Source organism: Homo sapiens, chromosome 7 (genome assembly GCF_000001405.40).
Source record: "Homo sapiens chromosome 7, GRCh38.p14 Primary Assembly".
Taxonomy (NCBI): domain Eukaryota; kingdom Metazoa; phylum Chordata; class Mammalia; order Primates; family Hominidae; genus Homo; species Homo sapiens.
In genome coordinates, this window is record NC_000007.14 from 103,168,331 (window position 1) to 103,187,137 (window position 18,807).

General features: G+C 38.6%; 1 pseudogene across 2 annotated transcripts in view; it reads right to left on the reverse strand.

Annotated features, from left to right (window-relative positions):
- Positions 1 to 6,682: 6,682 nt before the first annotated feature.
- Positions 6,683 to 18,807, reverse strand: part of DPY19L2P2 (DPY19L2 pseudogene 2) — a 105,454-nt pseudogene continuing 93,329 nt past the window's right edge. The window contains exons 21-23 of one of the 2 annotated variants that reach the window (NR_027768.1): positions 17,108 to 17,207; positions 15,672 to 15,797; positions 6,683 to 7,081 (exon numbers count right to left, since the gene is read on the reverse strand). The product of NR_027768.1 is annotated as a DPY19L2 pseudogene 2, transcript variant 1 (transcript). The remainder of the gene's footprint in view (positions 7,082 to 15,671; positions 15,798 to 17,107; positions 17,208 to 18,807) is intronic. The other variant, NR_003561.2, reaches the window with a different exon arrangement.

Sequence of the window (18,807 nt, forward strand, 5' to 3'; positions counted from 1 at the left end):
TCCCTTAGGCCCTCCCCAGCAGCACTCTTTCCCCTTCTATGCCCAGGAGCCTGCACCACAATTGTATTATGTGATGTAGCCCTGAATGGATAATGGCCCCTGCACAACCAGGCAACATTGTCTCTCCCAGGAATTTGAACCTTTAACTAAGAGTTTTAATTTAGCCTGGGCAAGCCTGGTGAATGACAGACTCAAAACTGAAGATTATGGAGCAGCCACTTCTGCTTGTTATGTTGGCTGAGAAGTAGAAATATAGAAATAATCAGTGTGCAGAGTAGAGTGCAGCAGAGAGAGAGAAACAAGGATGGAGGAGGGAGAAAGAATAATTAGATGACTGAATGAATCCTGGAGAGCCTTGCTTCCCACCAGTTGTTGGTTCCAGACCCTCCAGCCGCATTCCAACACCCCAGTGCTTGAGGCCCCCTACATTTCCTTTTTTGTGGTTTTAGCCTTGATTTTTTTTTTCTTTGGAACCAAGAGTTCCAACTAATAAATGAGTGTAATAACTTGTTATTGGCATTATAATGGAAGTGGGTACAGAACAAATTTTAACCTATCTTATTTATACAAATAGAGTACAGATGTCAATTGTACTTAATGTTAAATAGGCCAATGACAACTCATTTTTGTTCTTAAATCCTTTCCACTATAAACATTTATGCACAGCAACATTTGCAAGACACTGAGCCTTGGCAGTGAGTGTAACAAGATGCATAGCAATGGTGGGCAACCTTATTTTGATCAAGAGAAAATTAGGAAAAAGCAAAAATTACTTACAGGCTATATTTCTCTCTCATTCAAAATGGCTTTATTGTTGATCTTATGGGGAAAATTGTATTTTTGCAACTCAGGTGATTTATTTATTGAAGAGAAGAATGCCAACAAGAAAACTTTTTCGGCCTCTGAAAGATTATAACATGTTCCGGTTTAAGGATTTGTAACTCCAGACAGCTCTAATTGTCCATCTCTTATGTTTGGACTGCACCTTAATTTTCACCACATGAGTTCATCTGCATTAGCCCCAAGTATCCTTCCATCCCCCTCATCAACAAAATCTGGCCCATGAGGTATTATTATCCTCATTTAGAGGATATGGAGAAATTAAGGCTCTGTTTCAAAGCAAGTCTGTAAATTCTTTAACATTCTTCCCATCAAGAAGAGAGATCTATCTCCTGCCCTGGAACATGGGCAGCGCTTTTGACTGTCTCCGTGCATATAATATGGTGGAAGTGACACTGCTTGACTTGTGAAGCTGGATCACAATGGGTTATTGACTTCCACCAGCCTGTCTCCGGGGACAGGTGACTTCATGTAAGAAGTCCAGCTACCCTGACAGAGAGTCCACATTGGAGGGAGCACACTGTAATAGACAGAGGTGCCTGAGGAGCCCCGGCTGTTCCAGCCGCCAGCTATTTAGGTCTTCCCAAGTCAGGCACCAGAGAGTATGAATGGAAAGGCCTTCAAGAGAACTCTAGCCCCAGCCATTGTCTGATTGTCACTGCATGAGGACCAAAAACTACCTAGCTGAGCCCCATCAACCCCTAAAGAAGTGAAAGATAGTAATGACAAATGCTTGCTGTTGTTTTATAGCACCAAGCTCTGAGTGGTTTGTTGTGCTGCAGGCTCCAAGAGAAGTAACTTTCTGAGAGCACTCAGGAATTTCTTAGTGGAACTGGGGCTAGAATCAATTCACTGCATTTAATGCAGTATTAACCAGACAACTGTGTTGGGCCCTGGGGACCAGAGAAGAATTAACACACAGCCCAAGCCTTCCCCTGGTCTGAGCTTCCTCTTCCCACCTTCATATTCATGGCAGCTTCTTCTTGCTGGGAGTGGGATAGAGGAGCCCTAGGGCTGCTGGCTTCTGGAAGGAACTGGCTCCAGGGCACCCTGGCTATTCCCTTGCTCCATGCTGTGTGCAGGTGGCTCTGGCACCAAGAGGTGGCACCAAACCTGCTGCCAGCCTTGGCTTTCTCACCAGTCCTGCTCTGATGAGTTGACAGGCTGTGTTTGGAATTGAGCATGGCGGTATTACAAAGGCAAGTGGGTACCACACAACCTGCCCGCAGTGTTGCTTTGTTCTGATGAATTACACTGAGTCCCTGGATTCACATTTGGCTGGATTGTCAGGAAAAATATGTGTTCTGGGTGCCACCTGATCTTTTCATCTAGCTTCTGTCCTCAGGTAAACATTCCCTGTTAAAATTCTAAATGTTCATCTGCTTCCTCTAAAGAGATTGGTAAAAAGGCATAAAACACCTAAGAATCAGTGTTACTTGTAATGAGCCCAGGGCTGCCGCAGGGAGCACCATATACATAGAATACCAGGTGAGTGAGTGGGGCCCTCAGGGCTGAAGTATTATGCTCTAGGCCAGAAAAAGGATATTTTCTTTTTATTCCTGGGATACAGATAATGTATTTTCACATAACAGCCACATGTTTCATGAATTAAGCCAACAAATATTTACCAAGTATCCTTTAAATCCTTTAGTATTTAAAGTATCATTTTTTGCAAAAAAAAAAAAAATATGAGGGCCAACTTATTTTTGCCTGTCATGAAATCAAAGGCCAATTAAATAATCATTTCCAAATTTATATTTCTGTTTTATAGGTTTTCTTTATTCAAGGCATTCTTGTACAGTAAAGGGCAGGAAAAGGAGAGGGAGAGGGAAAGGGAGAAGAGGAAGAAGGAGGAAGGTGTGTGTGTTGGGAGTAGGGGGAAGCTTTGCAAATGGTAAACCTGGGTTATTATTTGACTTTTGGTTAAAAAAAAAAGTTGCATCAAATTAAGCAGTAAGCAATCATGAAGCAGGCAGTGACATGCATAGAGCAGATTTTCCTAAATCATCTTCCCCAGAACACCAATTCGCTAAGATGTTAATAAGCATTTTCCAAATAAAGATTTTCATTTTTCAGATAAATTCAGGACCGGCTGCATCTCCACTCCTGGTGAGTGACAATTCGTTTTAGCATGTTAAAGGCTCTGGAAAATGCTAGGGTAAAAGCAAAATGAAACACAAAACAAGAAGCTTGATTGACTTCCTTTAGCCTGGCACCCCCCAGATGCTGAACCTCTGTTATTGCAGTCGCTGAGGAACAGAGCCCATGGCACATGTGGAAAATCCTCTGCTGGATGAGGTGACTGTGGGATGGTCTCTGCTAGCTCCCTGCTAGGTCAGAGTGGAGCACTGGAGAAACACCAGACTCTTACCCAGGAGGGAAAAGGTCTGTTTCTCTGGCATCCTGCCTTTTGGTAGGGAGAAAAACTTCCAGTTTGAGTCTGAGGTGAAAATTGCTTTCCCCTTGCATCAAAGTCATAGAAACCCTGATGTGCCGTTATACCATTCAACATTCCCATCCCTGCAGTGCCTCAGGCTTTTGCAGTTTGCCCTCCTCATGCCCTTTCCTGGATCATGACCTTCTTTCAGCTGCCATTCCATTTTCACAGTCATTTCCATGCCCCATTTGGCTAACTCACCACTCCCTCAAAAGGAGATGCCCAGGTCAAAAAGCAGAGCTTTGCTCCATGTCCTTCCTGGAGCCTGGAGACTCCTGCTGAGTCCAGAGGGAGCAGCGAGCATGCCAGAGAAGGGCCCCTGCTAGGGACTGCTTCTGCTGTGAACATTTGGGTCCTGTTCCTGTTCTTTCCCACATCTCTCCCAGATGCTGCCGCAACCTTTACATGAATGCTCAGCCTCAGTTTCCTCCTGTCTCAAATGTCCTTATTTCAGGGTTGGGATAAAGAGTAAAAAAATATGTTTAGAGTGTTAAGCCTAGTACCTGCCTGCAATAGGTGCTCAACAAGTAGATGCTATTACTGATCATCACTATTCTTGCCTTATCTTCCCAAAGCACCTCCATACTGAGGATACAAATGAGGTCAGGTTAACAGGACCAATTTAAATCTCACTGCTTGGCCTCATTTGCACCTGCAGACCTTCACACCTTCTCCACCTGTAAGCTCCAGGACAGTATTTCTGGGACTCTCCGGAGGGTGTCTCATGGGTATGTAAGAATGAGCCCGCTTTCTGTGCCACGCAAGCCTGCTCATGGCTCACTTGTCACCAGAATGCCCGCCACCAGCTGTCACAGCTCCACGGGGTGCAGGAGTGAGGCCCTGGCTCCACCTGGCACAGCAACTCCATGTTGGTGGTTATGGCCTGTGTGCCACCCATCTGCTCTTCTGTCCTAAGAACAGACAGTGCTGTGGTCTCTGAGCAGCCAGCTTTTTGTGTTACTGGCTGTTGGACGGGGGCCAAGTAGGGCTCCTTGAGATCTCCCATGTTAGAATTTACTGACAGAGTTTTTCTTTTTGGAATTCTCACCTTTTTCCTCCTTAGGAAAGGAGCTGGGCTAGGGACGGGATGAGTCACTTCCTTCACAGGGAGCTTGGAGTCTCTGCTGTCTTCACCACTGAAGGCTTTGTTGTCAGGTCCAGCGTCTTGCTCTGGCACTACCTCATGTGGGAGGTGTTCTCCCCTGGTGGTCTATTCCGTTCCTTACAAGCAGTCAGCCCCCATAGTGGGCCCAGACTGAGTCCTTTTCCAGGAGGCTCTTCTGCCTGTGCAAAGGGGCCACTGCCAGGCCCAGCCCTCAGTGCGCTGGTCTCAGTCTCAGTGGCCCCACCATGGTGCTGGCCTATGGGAGCAAACTCTCCCGCATCTCCATCCTCCTCACAGCACTAGCCACTGTGGTGACCATGGGTCCTACCCGATCCTGCTGGTGACTCCCTGCCACCATTGCCAGGACACAGCTCTTTCTGGCCCAGAGTGACAATTCTGGCAAATTTAACTTGATATTGGCTATCCAAGGACAAGTATATGGTGAGCACTAAGCACCAGGCATTGTGTCTAGCTTCTGGCTCTCATAGATTTGCTAGGATTCCCCTGTAATGGCGGTGGTGGTGACAGGAGCTTACTCTACCCTGGGCAGGAGCCAGGCTGCAAACCCAAGTCTGGCTAAATCAAAAGTCCAGGCTTCCTAGAGACTCACTCTCTCTTTGTTCCTTACTGGAATCTTTGCTCTTATTGTCACACCTGTGCCACGCAAAGCCCCTCAGGAGCTAGGCTGATCATGACTGGACCCCGCACAGTCTGCCCAGCATGCTCCTCACCATTGCCTCTAAGCTGGCCAGGACCCTGGGGGGCTTTCCCCATGCACTACCCTGACACCTTTCTGGGGCACCATGGTAACTATCCACAGCCCCTCCTGGAGTGTGTCTCTTCATCCTGAGGTCTAAAGTCCTGATAATCTCCCCCAGTGAACCTGCGGTTTCTCTGAGGAGCCAGGTCCTCTGAGGACATGGGTCCCCTGGTGACTGCCTTGCCATTACTGGACCTTCTCAGTTGAGTGTGCAGACCACATCCCATGATCCCTAAGGAGCATTAGCCCAGAGGAAACACCTGATCAATCCCTGCCAATTTACGCTAAAAGCCACCATTTAAAAAAAAAAACAAAAACCCTCATCAGGATGACCTCCTATACCACAAAACCTTGCCCTCAGCAGAACTCTCTATAGGTCTCAAAGGTGACAGTATGAAGCACTGCTGGAAATTCCCACTCTCCTAGCGTCCTATTTATTGATCACATAGCTGCCTTCCGGGGGTAGAACCACTGGGAAATGTGTATGAACAGCACTCATCAACCATCACGTTTTTATTTGGCATTAGCTCCATGCCCAGTGAAGTGCCAGGTACAGACTGAGATTCATTTAAAAAATAGAAAGCATGGTCCTGTAAATAATTTGCAATTAACCAGGGAGATACACTTATACTGGAGAATTGAAGAACAGCTACAATTACGCACTGTAAGTAGGAAAGTTCTACAGCTTCCCTGGCTTCCTCCCACTCTCAGCCCTGCAAGCTCACCCAAGCCGAGCAGCCCACTGGCTGTACCTCAAACATGCCAAGCAACTCCTGCCTCAGGGGCTTCTCCTGGTTATTCCTGTGTCCGGGAAAAACCTTCTCCCAGACCTTCCCAATACTCCCTGCCTCTCTTCCATCCATTCTGTGCTTCAATTCCCCTTCGCAGAGAGGCCTCCCCGGTCACTGTCTCTAAAACAGTTCCTCCTCTTACTCACTCTTCTTACTTTGCTTTAGTGTTTCTTCATAGCCCTTGTCACTACCAAATATCCCACTTGTTATTTACTTGTTTTTTGTGTGTGTATTAACTACATATATATTTCAGTTGAAAGGTCTGTTCAAAACTTTGATCCTTTTTGAAATTTCCTTGTTTTTTATTGTTGCATTTTAGAGTTTTTGAGTTTATTCTGTTTTGTTTACTGTAGTATCTCCAGAGTCTGGAATAGCACCTGCCACAAAGGAAGCTATTTCCTGAGGAAATGAGGGAATAAATGAAGGGATGGATAAATGAATGAATGAATGAGACAGACTATGCCTCGTGGTAGGATTTATATAAAATGAGAATAATATAAAAATAATGCAATTTTATATTTGCATATCACTCATTCCATATATGTGATTGTGAGATGTATCCCATCTGTGTGGTGTGTGTCTGTGGGTATGTATGTGTGAGTGGTGAGTTTGTGCATGCTGTTTATGTGGATCTAGCCAATTGACCACTGTGCAGGAGGAAGAACTCAGACCTTGGAGTCAGAGGAATCTGGCTTCACATCCCTGCTCGGTCACTTGTTAACTATATGACAGTAAGTATGTTTCTCAACTTTTCCAAACCTGGGTTTATTCACGTTAACATGGGGATAAAAGTACCTCTTTCATAGATTTGTTATGGGGGTGAAATGAGACAACATACAACGTAATTCAAACACCCTACAAATGAGAAATGCTTAGAAAAAACTGTTTTTTATATGTATGCTTTTCTTTTGATTTCCTAATTTTTAATTTACATAAGGTAATATTCACTGATTTTAGTGTATAGTTGTATGATTTTGGATCCCAATCAAGTTTTGTTTTTTTTTTTTTTGGAGACGGGGTCTTGATTTGTCGCCCAGGCTGGAGTGCAGTGGCACAATCTCGGCTCAAGGAGGACGCTACATAAGGGAGGGTTAGCTGCATTGGAAGGGTCTTCCACATCCCAGATTTCAAGCATGCTGCAACCAGGCCTGAAAAAAGACAGACATATATATCCATATTAGAAATGTATTCCTGTCTAGAGAAAATAGATACATAACACAACATCTAGATTTTCAGAGACAAATTTATTTCATAAGTTAAATATTTTAAAGCGTCATTTCAAAAAACAATTTCAATGTTTAGAAATTTAAAAAATAGAATGAAATTAAGCACGTTGCATTTTCGCATCTCATTTGACCAAATGAAAGACATATCCTAATAATAAAGCTTCAATATACATTCATAAATATATATGTAAAAGCACACTTTCAAGATGAAACAAACATAAATATAATTTCCAAGTGCCATCACCATCTAAACATAAGGCCCATTTGTAGTAAAATAAGACAAATTAAAACCTAATCGAATTCCTGATGAATTTCACATTTTTTAGCATAAACTGCCTTGGATTAGCATGAAATGATCCAAGGCAGGGACAGGAGACTCTTACGGCAATTTGTTTTCTTCAATGCTTTCCCATTTTGGGTGGCTCTATGACTGGGCTAAATGAGACACTATTCCTCCCTAGAGAGTAATCCTGCATGGCAGTCATTAAAGGGAAGGAGTCAGACAAAATTGATTTCTAATTTTTTAACATCTATATTGAAGTATAAGTTATACACAATAAAACTTCACCTATTTTATGTGTAAAGTTTGCCAGGTATGGGCAAATGTGTATACATGTGTAAGCACTACCACAATCATAATACAGAAAATTTCCATCACCCCCACAAGTTCCCTGTGCCCTTTTGCAATCTACCATCTTCCCCAAACATGGCCTCAGGCAACTACTGTGCTTTCTGCATTACAGTTTTGCTTTTTCTAGAATTTCATATAAATATATTATGTAGTCTTTTCATTTTTGGCTTCTTTACCATAGCATGTTTTTGATATTCATATCTGAGCTGTAGTTCCTACAACTTCTGTTGTGGTTCAGTAGTTCCTTCCCTTTTGTTGCTAAATAATATTTCATTGTATATAGAGAACACAATTTGTTTATCCATTTGCAAGTTAATGAACATTTGAGATGTTTTGAGTTTTTGGTGACCATGAACAATGCCACTATAAACATTCACGGACAAGGCTTTTTGTGGACATATGTTATCATTTCTCTTAGGGAAACACCTAGGAGTGGAATTGCTGGGTTGCATGGTTATGTATGATTAAGTGTGGATTTATCTTTATAAGCAAGTTCAAAACTGTTTTCCAGAGTAGATGCACCATTTTCCATTTCCACCAACAATGCATGAGAGTTTAAGTTGTATCAGTTTTTGTAATTTTAATCGTTATAGTATGGTTATGGATGATTCAAAATATCTTCTTTGGTGAAATTTCTATTCAAATATTTTGCCAAATTTTGTGTTGGTTCTTATTGAGGTGTGAGAGTTCTTTGTATATTCTGGGTAAAAGTCTGCCAGATTTTTTTAGCAGATGTATTAAGGCATAATTGCTCAATAATTACTCAATAAGCTGCACATATTTAGTATCCACTTGGATACATATTAACATAGGTATACACTTGTAAAACAGCAGCCACAATAAAAATCATGAACATATCCATCTCTCCCAAAAGTTTACTTCTGCCCTTTTGTAATCCTAATTATTGCATGCTTTCTTTTTTGTCTGGCTTCTTGTCCTCAGTAGAATTATTTTGAGATCCATCCATATTGCTGTATCAATAGTTCGTTCATTTTTATTAGTGAGTAATATTTACATTGTTTGGATATTCTAATAGTGTGTTTATACATTCATCTGCTGATAAATAAGTGGATTGTTTCCAGTTTGGGGCTAATACAGAAAATAAAGTGCTATGAACATTTGTGTACAATTCCTGGGATGGATATGTGCTTTCTTTTATTTTAATAAATACAGTAGTTGTATGTTTAACTTTTTATAAAATTGCTAAACTGTCTTGCAGAGTGGTTGTACCATATTACTTTTGCACCACTGGTGTATGAGAGTTCTAAGTCCTCCATAGTGTCAGCAACAGTTGGCAGTTCTTTTTTCAGTTATAGCTATTTTATTAAGTGTTTAGTTACATCTCACTGTAATTTTCATTTGCATTTCACAAATCACTAGTAACATCAAGCATCTTTTTGTGTGATTATTTGCCATCTGTCCCTTTGTCCCTTTTTTTTTCTTTTCTTTTTTTTTTTTCTGAGACAAGGTCTTGCTCTGTCGCCCAGTGGAGTGCAACAGCACAATCTCGGCTCACTGCAACCTCCGTCTCCTGGGTTCAAGTAATTATCCTGCTTCAGCCTCCCGAGTAGCTGGGATTATATGCGCCCACCATCACGCCTGGCTTTTTGTATTTTTAGTAGAGATGGGGTTTAGTCATGTTGGCCAGGCTGATCTCGAACTCCTGACCTCAGGTGATCCACCCGCCTCAGCCTCCCAAAATCCTGGGATTACAGGCGTGAGCCAACCACTGCGCCCGGCCTGTTTTGTCCATTTTTAATTGGGTTGTTTTCTTATTATTGGGTTTTGAGAGTTTTTTATACATCTAGAAAAAGTCCTTTATCAGACATAGGCTTTGAAAATATTTTCTCCCAGACTGTGGTTTATCTTTTAATTCTTCCTAATACTGTTTATAAAAAAGCAGAGGTTTACAGTTTTAATGAAGTCCTATTTATCAATGTGTTCTCTTGTGGATCATGATTATGTTACTGTATCTGAGAAATCTTAGCCTAATCCAAGGTTACAATAATTTTCTTCCATATTTTCTTCTAGAAATTTTATATTCTTAGATTCTTAGTAGCAAGTTACCTTCTACTCCTAGTTTGCTGAGGGTTTTTAATCAGTTATGGATACTGAATTGTGTCAAATACTTTTTCCTGAATGTACTCAGAGGATGATGCGTGATGATGCGGTCTTTCTTTCTCAGTTTGTTACTATGGTGAATTCACTTGATTGGTTTTCAAATAGTGAGACAACTTTGCATTCCTGGGATAAACTCCACTTGCACATTATGTATTGTCTTTCTTTAATATATTGCTGGATTCATTTGTTGCAATTTTACTTAAAAACTTCACACATGTGTTCATGATAAATTTTGATTGGTTGTTTCCTTTTATTGTAATGTTTCTCTCATGTTGGTATCAGGATAATGCTGACCTCACAGAACCAGTTGGGAAGTAATCCCTCCTTTTGAATTTTCTGGAATAGTTTGTAGAATTGGAATTATTTCCAGTGAAGATATCTGTCTTAAAGTTTTCTTTGTGACAATTCTTTTTACTACAAATATAATTTTATTAATAGATACAAGGTCATTCATAATAAGGTAATAGATATAAGATTTTCTATTTCTTAAGTGAGCTTTGATTTTGCATCTTTCAAGGAACTTGTCCATTTTATCTATTTTGTCCTACTTAGTGGAATAAAGTTGTTCCTAAAACTCCCTCATTATCCTTTTCATTTCTTCAGATCCTGTAGTGATAAAATCTTTCTTATTCCTGATACTAGTAATTTCTGTCTTCAATCTTTTAGTTTGGGTAGGAATTTATCAATTTTATTAATCTTCTCAAGAATCAGTGTTTGGTTTTACTGACTTTTCCCTGTTTGGGGAGGAAATACACACTGATTTTGATTCTAATCTTTATGCTTTCTTTTTCTTCTCCTTACTTTGGAGTTTACTTATTCTTTTATTTTTCTAGTTCCTTAAGGTGAAGCTGAGTGACTGATATGAGGCCTTTCTTCTTTTTCTATTATGGGCATTCAACATAAAAACAAATCTCTCTACTGCTGTATCTGCATCCCACAAACAGCGGGATGGTGTTCTCATTTTCCCTTAGGTCAACATACGTTGAAACTAACCCTCCTTTTGTTTCTTCTTGACCATGGATTATCTGGAAGTGTACTACTTAGTTTCTAAACATTTGAGGGAATTTCCGTATAGAATTCTGTTACTGATTTCTAATTTAATTTCATTGTAGTCAGAGATTGTACTTTACATGATCTAAAGTATTTTAAATGTGTCAATACTTGCTTTGTGGCCTAGAAAATAGTCTTTTTTGATAAATAGTCTGCGTGTGCTTGAATGTCTATTTTGCTGTTCTAGGGTGGTGTGTACTATAAATGTCAATTAGGTCATATTGGTTGATGGCGTCATTCAAGTCTTCCATATTCTTGCCAAATTTCTTTTTATTTGTTCTACAAATTATTTAGACAAGGCTATTAAAATTTCTAACTATACTGTAGATTTGTCTATTTTTTCCTAAAGTTCTATCAGTTGTGTTTCATATTTTTGAAGCTCTGTTATCTAAGTGCATAAATGTTCAGGGTTGCCACATCCTCTTGAAATATAGATCCCTTCTTCATTTAAAAATCCTTGTTTAACCTTGATAATATTCTTAGCATTCAAATGTACTGTGATGTTATTACAGTCACACCAGCTTTCACTGACAAGTAGTAGCATCACATGTCCTTTTCCTATCTGTTAACTTTTAACCTCTTCGTTTCTTTATATTTAAGTAAATTTCTTGAAAGCAGCCTATAGTAGGGTCTTGCTTTGCTATGCAATCTGACAATTCTTGCTTTTCATTTGTGGTGTTTAGAGCTATATTCGTTTCCTATTGCTGCTATAACAAATTACCACAAACAGTTGCTTAAAGCAACATATATTTATTCTCTTTCAAATTTTGGAGCTCATAAGTCTAAAATCACAGTATTGGCAGGACTCCAATCCTTCAGGAGGCTCTAGAAGAAAATCCACTTCCTTGCCTTTTCCAGCCCTAGAAGCTGGCCTCCTTCCTTGGCTTGTGGCCTTATATCACTCGAACTTCTGCTTCTACCATCACATCGCCTTTTTGATCTCTTACTCGTTTGCCTCCTCCTTATAAAGACTTTGTGATTACATTTGCCCTACCTGGATAATAAGGATAATCTCCACATCTCATGAGCATTAATTTAATCACATTTGCAAATTTCCTTTTTCCATGTGAGTAACGTAATTCACAATTTCTGGGAATTAGGACATGGCCATCGTGGGGGGCTCATTATTCAGCCTACCACAAGTCCATTTACACTTAATGTGATAATTAATATGGTTAGATTTAAGTCTGTCATCTCAGCGTTTTCTCTTTGTTCCATCTGATCGTCATCTCCCTTTTCCGCTTCTTCTGCCTTATTTTGGATTGAGTGATTTTTATAATTCCATTTTAATCTTGTTTGTTGCCTTTTGGGTTCTGTCAATTTTTGCTTCATTTATTTTGAAATTCTCTTTTAAGTTCATATGCACTCAAATTATTGTATCTTTCTCCTGTACTGAACTATTTTGCATTATAAAACATAGTTGTTTCTAGTAATATTCTTTGTCTTAACATCTATCTTCTCTGATATTTATACATTTTTCACTTCAGCTTTTCTAATGTTTACTCACATGATATCTTTTCCATTCTTTTTCCTTCAGCCAATATACATATCTATATTTAAAATGCACCTCTTGCAGGCAGTCCATAGATAGGTTTTGCTCTTGTATTCAGTTTGCCAATCTCCACCTTTTGTTAGGAAGAATTTAGTCCTCTTTCACTTTGAAATTACTGATATGGTTTGATATAGGCTTGCTATAGTGCTCTTTTGTTTTTTTAAAAAAACTTTTTATTTCAAGACATTTGGAGATCCACATTAAGTGAGAGATAATACAAGTAGCTCTTGTACAGTCTTTAGACAGTGTCCTCTGCCATGGTAACATCTTGAACATTTGTATAATATCACAGCCAGATAATTCACATTGATAGAATGGTGATAGAGAGCATTTCCATCACCATAGAGATCCCTTGTATAGCCACACATACTATACTTCCCCCACATTCCCACCCCACCCTAACCCCTTGCAACCACAAATCATCCATATCTATAATTTTGTCATTTGAAGACAGTTATACAAATGGAATCATACAGTAGGTAACCTTTGGGGATTGTCTTTTCTTCATTCAAACAATTCTCTGGAGATTCATCCAGGATCTTGAGTGTATCAATAGTTTGATCCTATTGCTGAGCAGTATTCCATGGTATGAATAGATCACTATTATTTAATCATTCACCTTGCAAAAAACATCTTGGTTGTTTCAGGTTTAGGCTATTACAAATAAAGCTGCTATAGACATTTTTCTACAGAATTTTGTGTGAACACAACTTTCCACCTTTCTGGGAAAAAATGCCCAATACAATTGCTGGGTCTTAAGTTAGTTATATGTTTAGTTTTTTTCCCCTTTTAGTTTCAGTTGACAAGTAATACTTGTACATATTTATGAAGTATAGAGTGATATTTCAATGCATAATTACAATGTGTAATGATCAAATCAGGGTAATTAGGATATCCATCACCACAAACGTTTACCATCTGTTTGTGCTGGGAACATTCAAAATCCTCTGTTCTGGCTTTCTTGACATATAACGATAAATTACTGTTAACTAATATTCACTCTACAGTGCCAGAGAGCACTGTAACTTATTCCTTCTATTTATCTGTAGTTTTTTATCTCTTAACCAACCTCTCCTTATCTTCTTCTCCTCCCTACCCTTCCCACTCAGCCTCTAATTACCACAATTCTACTCTACTTCTATGAGCTACTTCTTTGAGCTTCCACATGAGTGACAACATGCACTATTCATCTTTCTGTGTCTGACTTATTTCACTTAATGTATCCAGGCTCATCCATATCTAGGCTTGCCATTATGCTCTTTTTTTCCCCACTGTTTTATTTATTTTTTGAGTGGTTTTGATAGGGATGACAACAAGCATCTTTAACATATCATGATTTACTTACCATTTAAATTGGGTTATTTCTAGTAAATCGTACATTTCCACGGTTTACTCAATTTTTGTGCTATTGTCATGTATATTTAATTTCTGTCATAAACTAAAAAATATAATGGTATCACTTTTGCCTTAAATAATGTCTTTTAAAGATTTTCAGAGAAGAAAAACGTATAGTGATTAATATCCACATATTTACCTTTTCCAGCGCATTTCAGTATTTCTTGTATATCTGAGTTACCATCTGGCATCATTTCTCATCAGCTGATAGAACTTCTTGTCCATCTTGAAGTATAAATCTGTTACCAACAAATTATCTTAGATTTTGTTGATCTGAAAAATGTATTTTTGGCCTCCATTTTAAAAAGATAGTTTCATTAAATATAGAATTCTTGATTTTTCATCTTCAGCACTTTGAATTATCATTCCAGTGTCGGATAATTTCCACTATTTATGTTGGGAAGTCAGATGTTTATATAGCATATCTTTTTTTCTCTTATTTTCAAGATTTTTCTCTTAATCTTTGATTTTACCGTTTTGACTGTAATGTTCCTTGCTTTGGTTTTCTTTGGGCTTCACCCAGTTGGATTTGTTGAGCTTAGCGGATCTCTAAGTTAGTAGCTTTTATCAAACTTGAGAAATTTTCGGCCAACATTTCTTCAATATTTTTTCGGTCATGTTCTTTTTTTCATTACATCTAATACTAAAATTATGCATGTGTTGAACTACTTAATGTTACATAGGTCTGTGACTTTGGTTATTTTTCAATCTTTTTGGCTCCTGTTCTTTTGATTAACTATCCTCTCTTCATCTATCTTCAAATTCACTGCATTTTCTGTTCAAATGTTCTGTTTTCATCTCAAAATTGTTGTTGAGTACATTTAAATGATTTTCATTTTATTTATTATACTTTTCAGCTCTAGAATTTCCATGGGGGCTGGAGTGTTTCTATTTCTCTGCTGAGATTCCATAGCTCTTCACTCATGGATACCATGTTTTCTTTTAATTCATTGAATACATTTTTCTTAAGCCTTTGAATGTATTTGTAATAGTGGCTTTGCAGTCTTTGGCTGCTAAATCCAACATCTGGACCTACTTGAATCGGTTTCTATTAACTTATTTTTTTCAGAGTATTGGTCATACTTTCTCATTTTAGTTTGAATCTCTGAAACTTTTTGCACATTTTAAATGATATTTTGAAGTGACCGTAGAACCTGTTTTGTTCTTCTGATTGCCAATGTGTCATTCTAGGAGACAATTAATGTGCCTGAATTTCCTGTCATGTGCAGCAGCTAATATCTGTGCTTAGGAGCCTAAACAAAGGACTCATAAGATCAATTACACATCTTAGAATTTTATGATTTTTAGAGATTCAAAATTCAGAAATTAAAAAATTTTAATTAGGAATGTTTTCCTTAGGTCATTTTGGGTTTTGTCACTTTTCTTTTAAGTCTTACAAATCCAATATAATTCAGCTATAATACAGAATGCCAATATCTCACTTTGTTGTAAATTCAAATCCATATTACAGATATCTAATAAAAATTTTCATAAATATTTCAAAAATTATGAAAAAAGCTAAGTGGAAGATGTTAAATTGAAAAATCAGGATATTAAATATACTATAATGTTTGGAATTAAATTCTACTTCATTGATAATATAGTTTTATGTCTCTAGATGAAATAATTTAAACTAAGGTACCAGGATAATATTTTAATAAATTTAAAATAAAAATTCTTAAAGAATCAGGACTACTGTAATAAAGTGAAACATTTGTTGCTCAAAAATATACCATATCAGATAGCATAGGTTTAATACTCACTTAGTTCTCACAACACACCATGCCTCTTCTAAAACATAATAATTCACATGTAACTCCAACAATTTATCTCTTACTTCTTTGGCAGATTTTCCACTATATGTAGAATAAACTATTTTTGTCCAAGCCCTTTAAATTTAAACAATATTTTAAAAGATTTTAAAATAAATGATAATAGAATAGACTAAAAAAATCTTACTAGCAAATTGAAATCTCAATACTCACTGGATGGAACACTGATATACATGACTCAAAACAGCATCAATTATTTTGGGGATGGCAGTTTCCACATTCCTACTTATATTTTGAATGTAATAAAACTTACAGCAATTTAATTTTGCATATACTGCTCATTACTGTATAAGATAGTGTAAAGTTGTACTGGGTAGCAGAGAGCAGCTTAGGATATACAATTTTCTTCTCATAATTCACACAGTTTTCAGAGACTATATTCTGACAGAGACTGAATGTAGTGAAAACACATCTTTCAATGCTTAATTTCATCTAAAGAAGCTCTGACAAATACATGAATTGAAATTTAGTGTATCAAGTAGAACACTTAGACAATGGGCATCCAGGGTGTCAGAAGAGGTAGGAAAAGCACCTTCACAGAGTCTTGAGAAATGGGGATGGTCACCAAAATATGGTACAATAGGTGATTTGACCATAGTGGGAGTTCTTACAAAATCCTAACAAACTATCACTTATGCATTGGATGTTGCTTAGAATTTCAAGCATATGGAATGCTCAGTCACCACAGTGGTTTCCATGCCAGTTCACCGCAGTAGAACAGAGAGAGCATCAGGTACATTTCTAAGGTGTCTGACTCCAAGCCCTGGCTCCTAGACAGCAGACCTAAAACTTTTAAATAATTTAAACATTTGCCTCTAACAATAGGCCAAAAATCCACTTTTAAAAACGATTACCCTGACAACTACTAGAATAACCAAAATAATTTTTTAAACCAGCCATTTAAGGTAAGCAAAACTTTTAGACATCAATGGAAACTAGAGTTCTCATAATCGACTAGCAAAAATACTCTAAATTTTCATGAAAGCACGTAATATATAATAGCAAATTTCATGTATTTTTTCTACCTGTCACAAAAAGCTAGTCATTGGCCACCAGTAAGATCTAGAAATCATTTCTTAAATCAGAGTGGGGCTTCTGGTGTAGAGCAGGGGTTGGCAAACCATGGCTGTGAGTAAAATCCGTCCTACCTACTCTTCCAACTACCTAGTAGTTTTACTGGAATACACACACACATCATTTCTGGATGGTTATTGTCACTTTTTTTAACTTCCAGTATGAAAATGAGGATGAGTTTGTGTGTGTGTGTGTGTGTGTGTGTGTGTGTGTGTGTGTGTAAAAATTTTCCCAGTTCCTAAGAATTGGGAGTCGCCAAGTGAGTCTTGAAGAAATACTTATCAGCTGCCAACCTCAAGTCTGCATCTTCGTAATGTGGATGATTCACAATGGGATGAAGTGTAGACAGCTTGACACTTGCCATTGTAGGCATGGCACCTGCAAAGACAGCATCTGAAAAAAAAAAAAAGGATATATTCTTCAATTAAATGTTTCAAAGAAAATCAGAAGTTAAACTTACCTCTAATATGTGAACCCAAATTAAGAAGGATGATGCCTATTTACATGATCATGGACCTCATTCTTTTTATTAACTCAATAGTTATTCATTATCTACTATAATAATAGCTGACTTTTGTTAAATGCTATCTGGGTGCTAGAAATTGTGCTCCATATTTTAACAAGAAATCACTTAATTTTCACAATTCTAAGGGGTAGGTCCTCTGTTCTTACTTTGTAAAATCTACAAACTGAGCATGTGAGGGGTCTGAGTTATGCACTCATTAGAATCTAATGCCTGATGGTCTGAGGTGGAACAATTTCATCCAGAAACCACCCCCTACCCCCCAGTTCTGTGGAAAAAAATGGTCTTCCACGAAACTAGTCCCTGGTGCCAAAAAGGTTGCAGACTGCTGTTGTAGATGATGAAGAGACACAGCCAAGTTAAGTGACTTGTCCAAGACTGCACAGCTAGGAAGTTCCAGAGCCTGCCCTCTTAGCTGCTTCACTAAAGCTTCCTGCTATGCTAGAGCACCATGCTAACAGCAGGACTACAGACACACATGAAACAAAAAGAATGTAAAATGTCACATCTGTTCCAATAATGTGAAATGCCAGGAACTGAGAGACTGCTATGAAGGGCAAGTCTCATGGGACATTTTTTCAAATGACTTTTGTGGCTGGTGAACTGTGGTCCTGTGGATGTGCCATAAAAAAGGAAAGCATTGTTTTCTTCCCTCAGATCATCTTTCAGTTCTCAGAGTTACCATTTGACTTGACACCATTTATACATGCCATGAAATCATTTCATTACTTGCTAGTAGTACTTTTTGGAGTAATAACATGTATAAATTTGGTCATAAATAGAGATACATCAAAATCTATCTGGCTTCCATTTCATCTCTTGAAATACCAGAAGACCAAATGCTTACTTCCTGGTACTTTTGTATAAAAAACAATTACATAATTGTGAAGGTTACTATCATTTTTAATCAGCACAATAAAATCAGTAATAAAGATAAGACATATTATTCAGATCTACTATAAAAAACTATGTTGGAGAGGAGGTGGAGCATGATGACCAAGTAGAAGCCTCCACTGTTCATCCTCCCCTCAGGAACACCAAATTTGATAACGATCTACACAAAAAGCACTTTCATAAGAACCAAAAATCAGCTTAGGTACCAGCTTGGCCTCAGTGGGGAGCAGCACCAAGCAGGCTCTTGTGGTCCCCGATTCCAGGCCTTGGCTCTTGGGTGGCATTTCTGGACCTGCCCTGGGCTGGAAGAGAGCCCACTGCCCTGAAGGGTGAGTTCCAGGCCTGGCAGCACTCACCACAAGCTGACTGAAAGGTCCTTCAGCCTTAAGTGAATGTTGGCGGTAGCCAGGCATTACCTCCCACGGGCCTGTGGTAGTGGTGGAAATGAGGAGAGACCACTCTGCCTGGGGAAAGGGGAAGGAAGGGTGGGAAGGACTTTGTCTGGTGGTTTCAGCACCAGCTCAGCTGCAGTAGAGTAGAGCATCAGGTAGATTTCTAAGGTGTCTGACTCCAGGC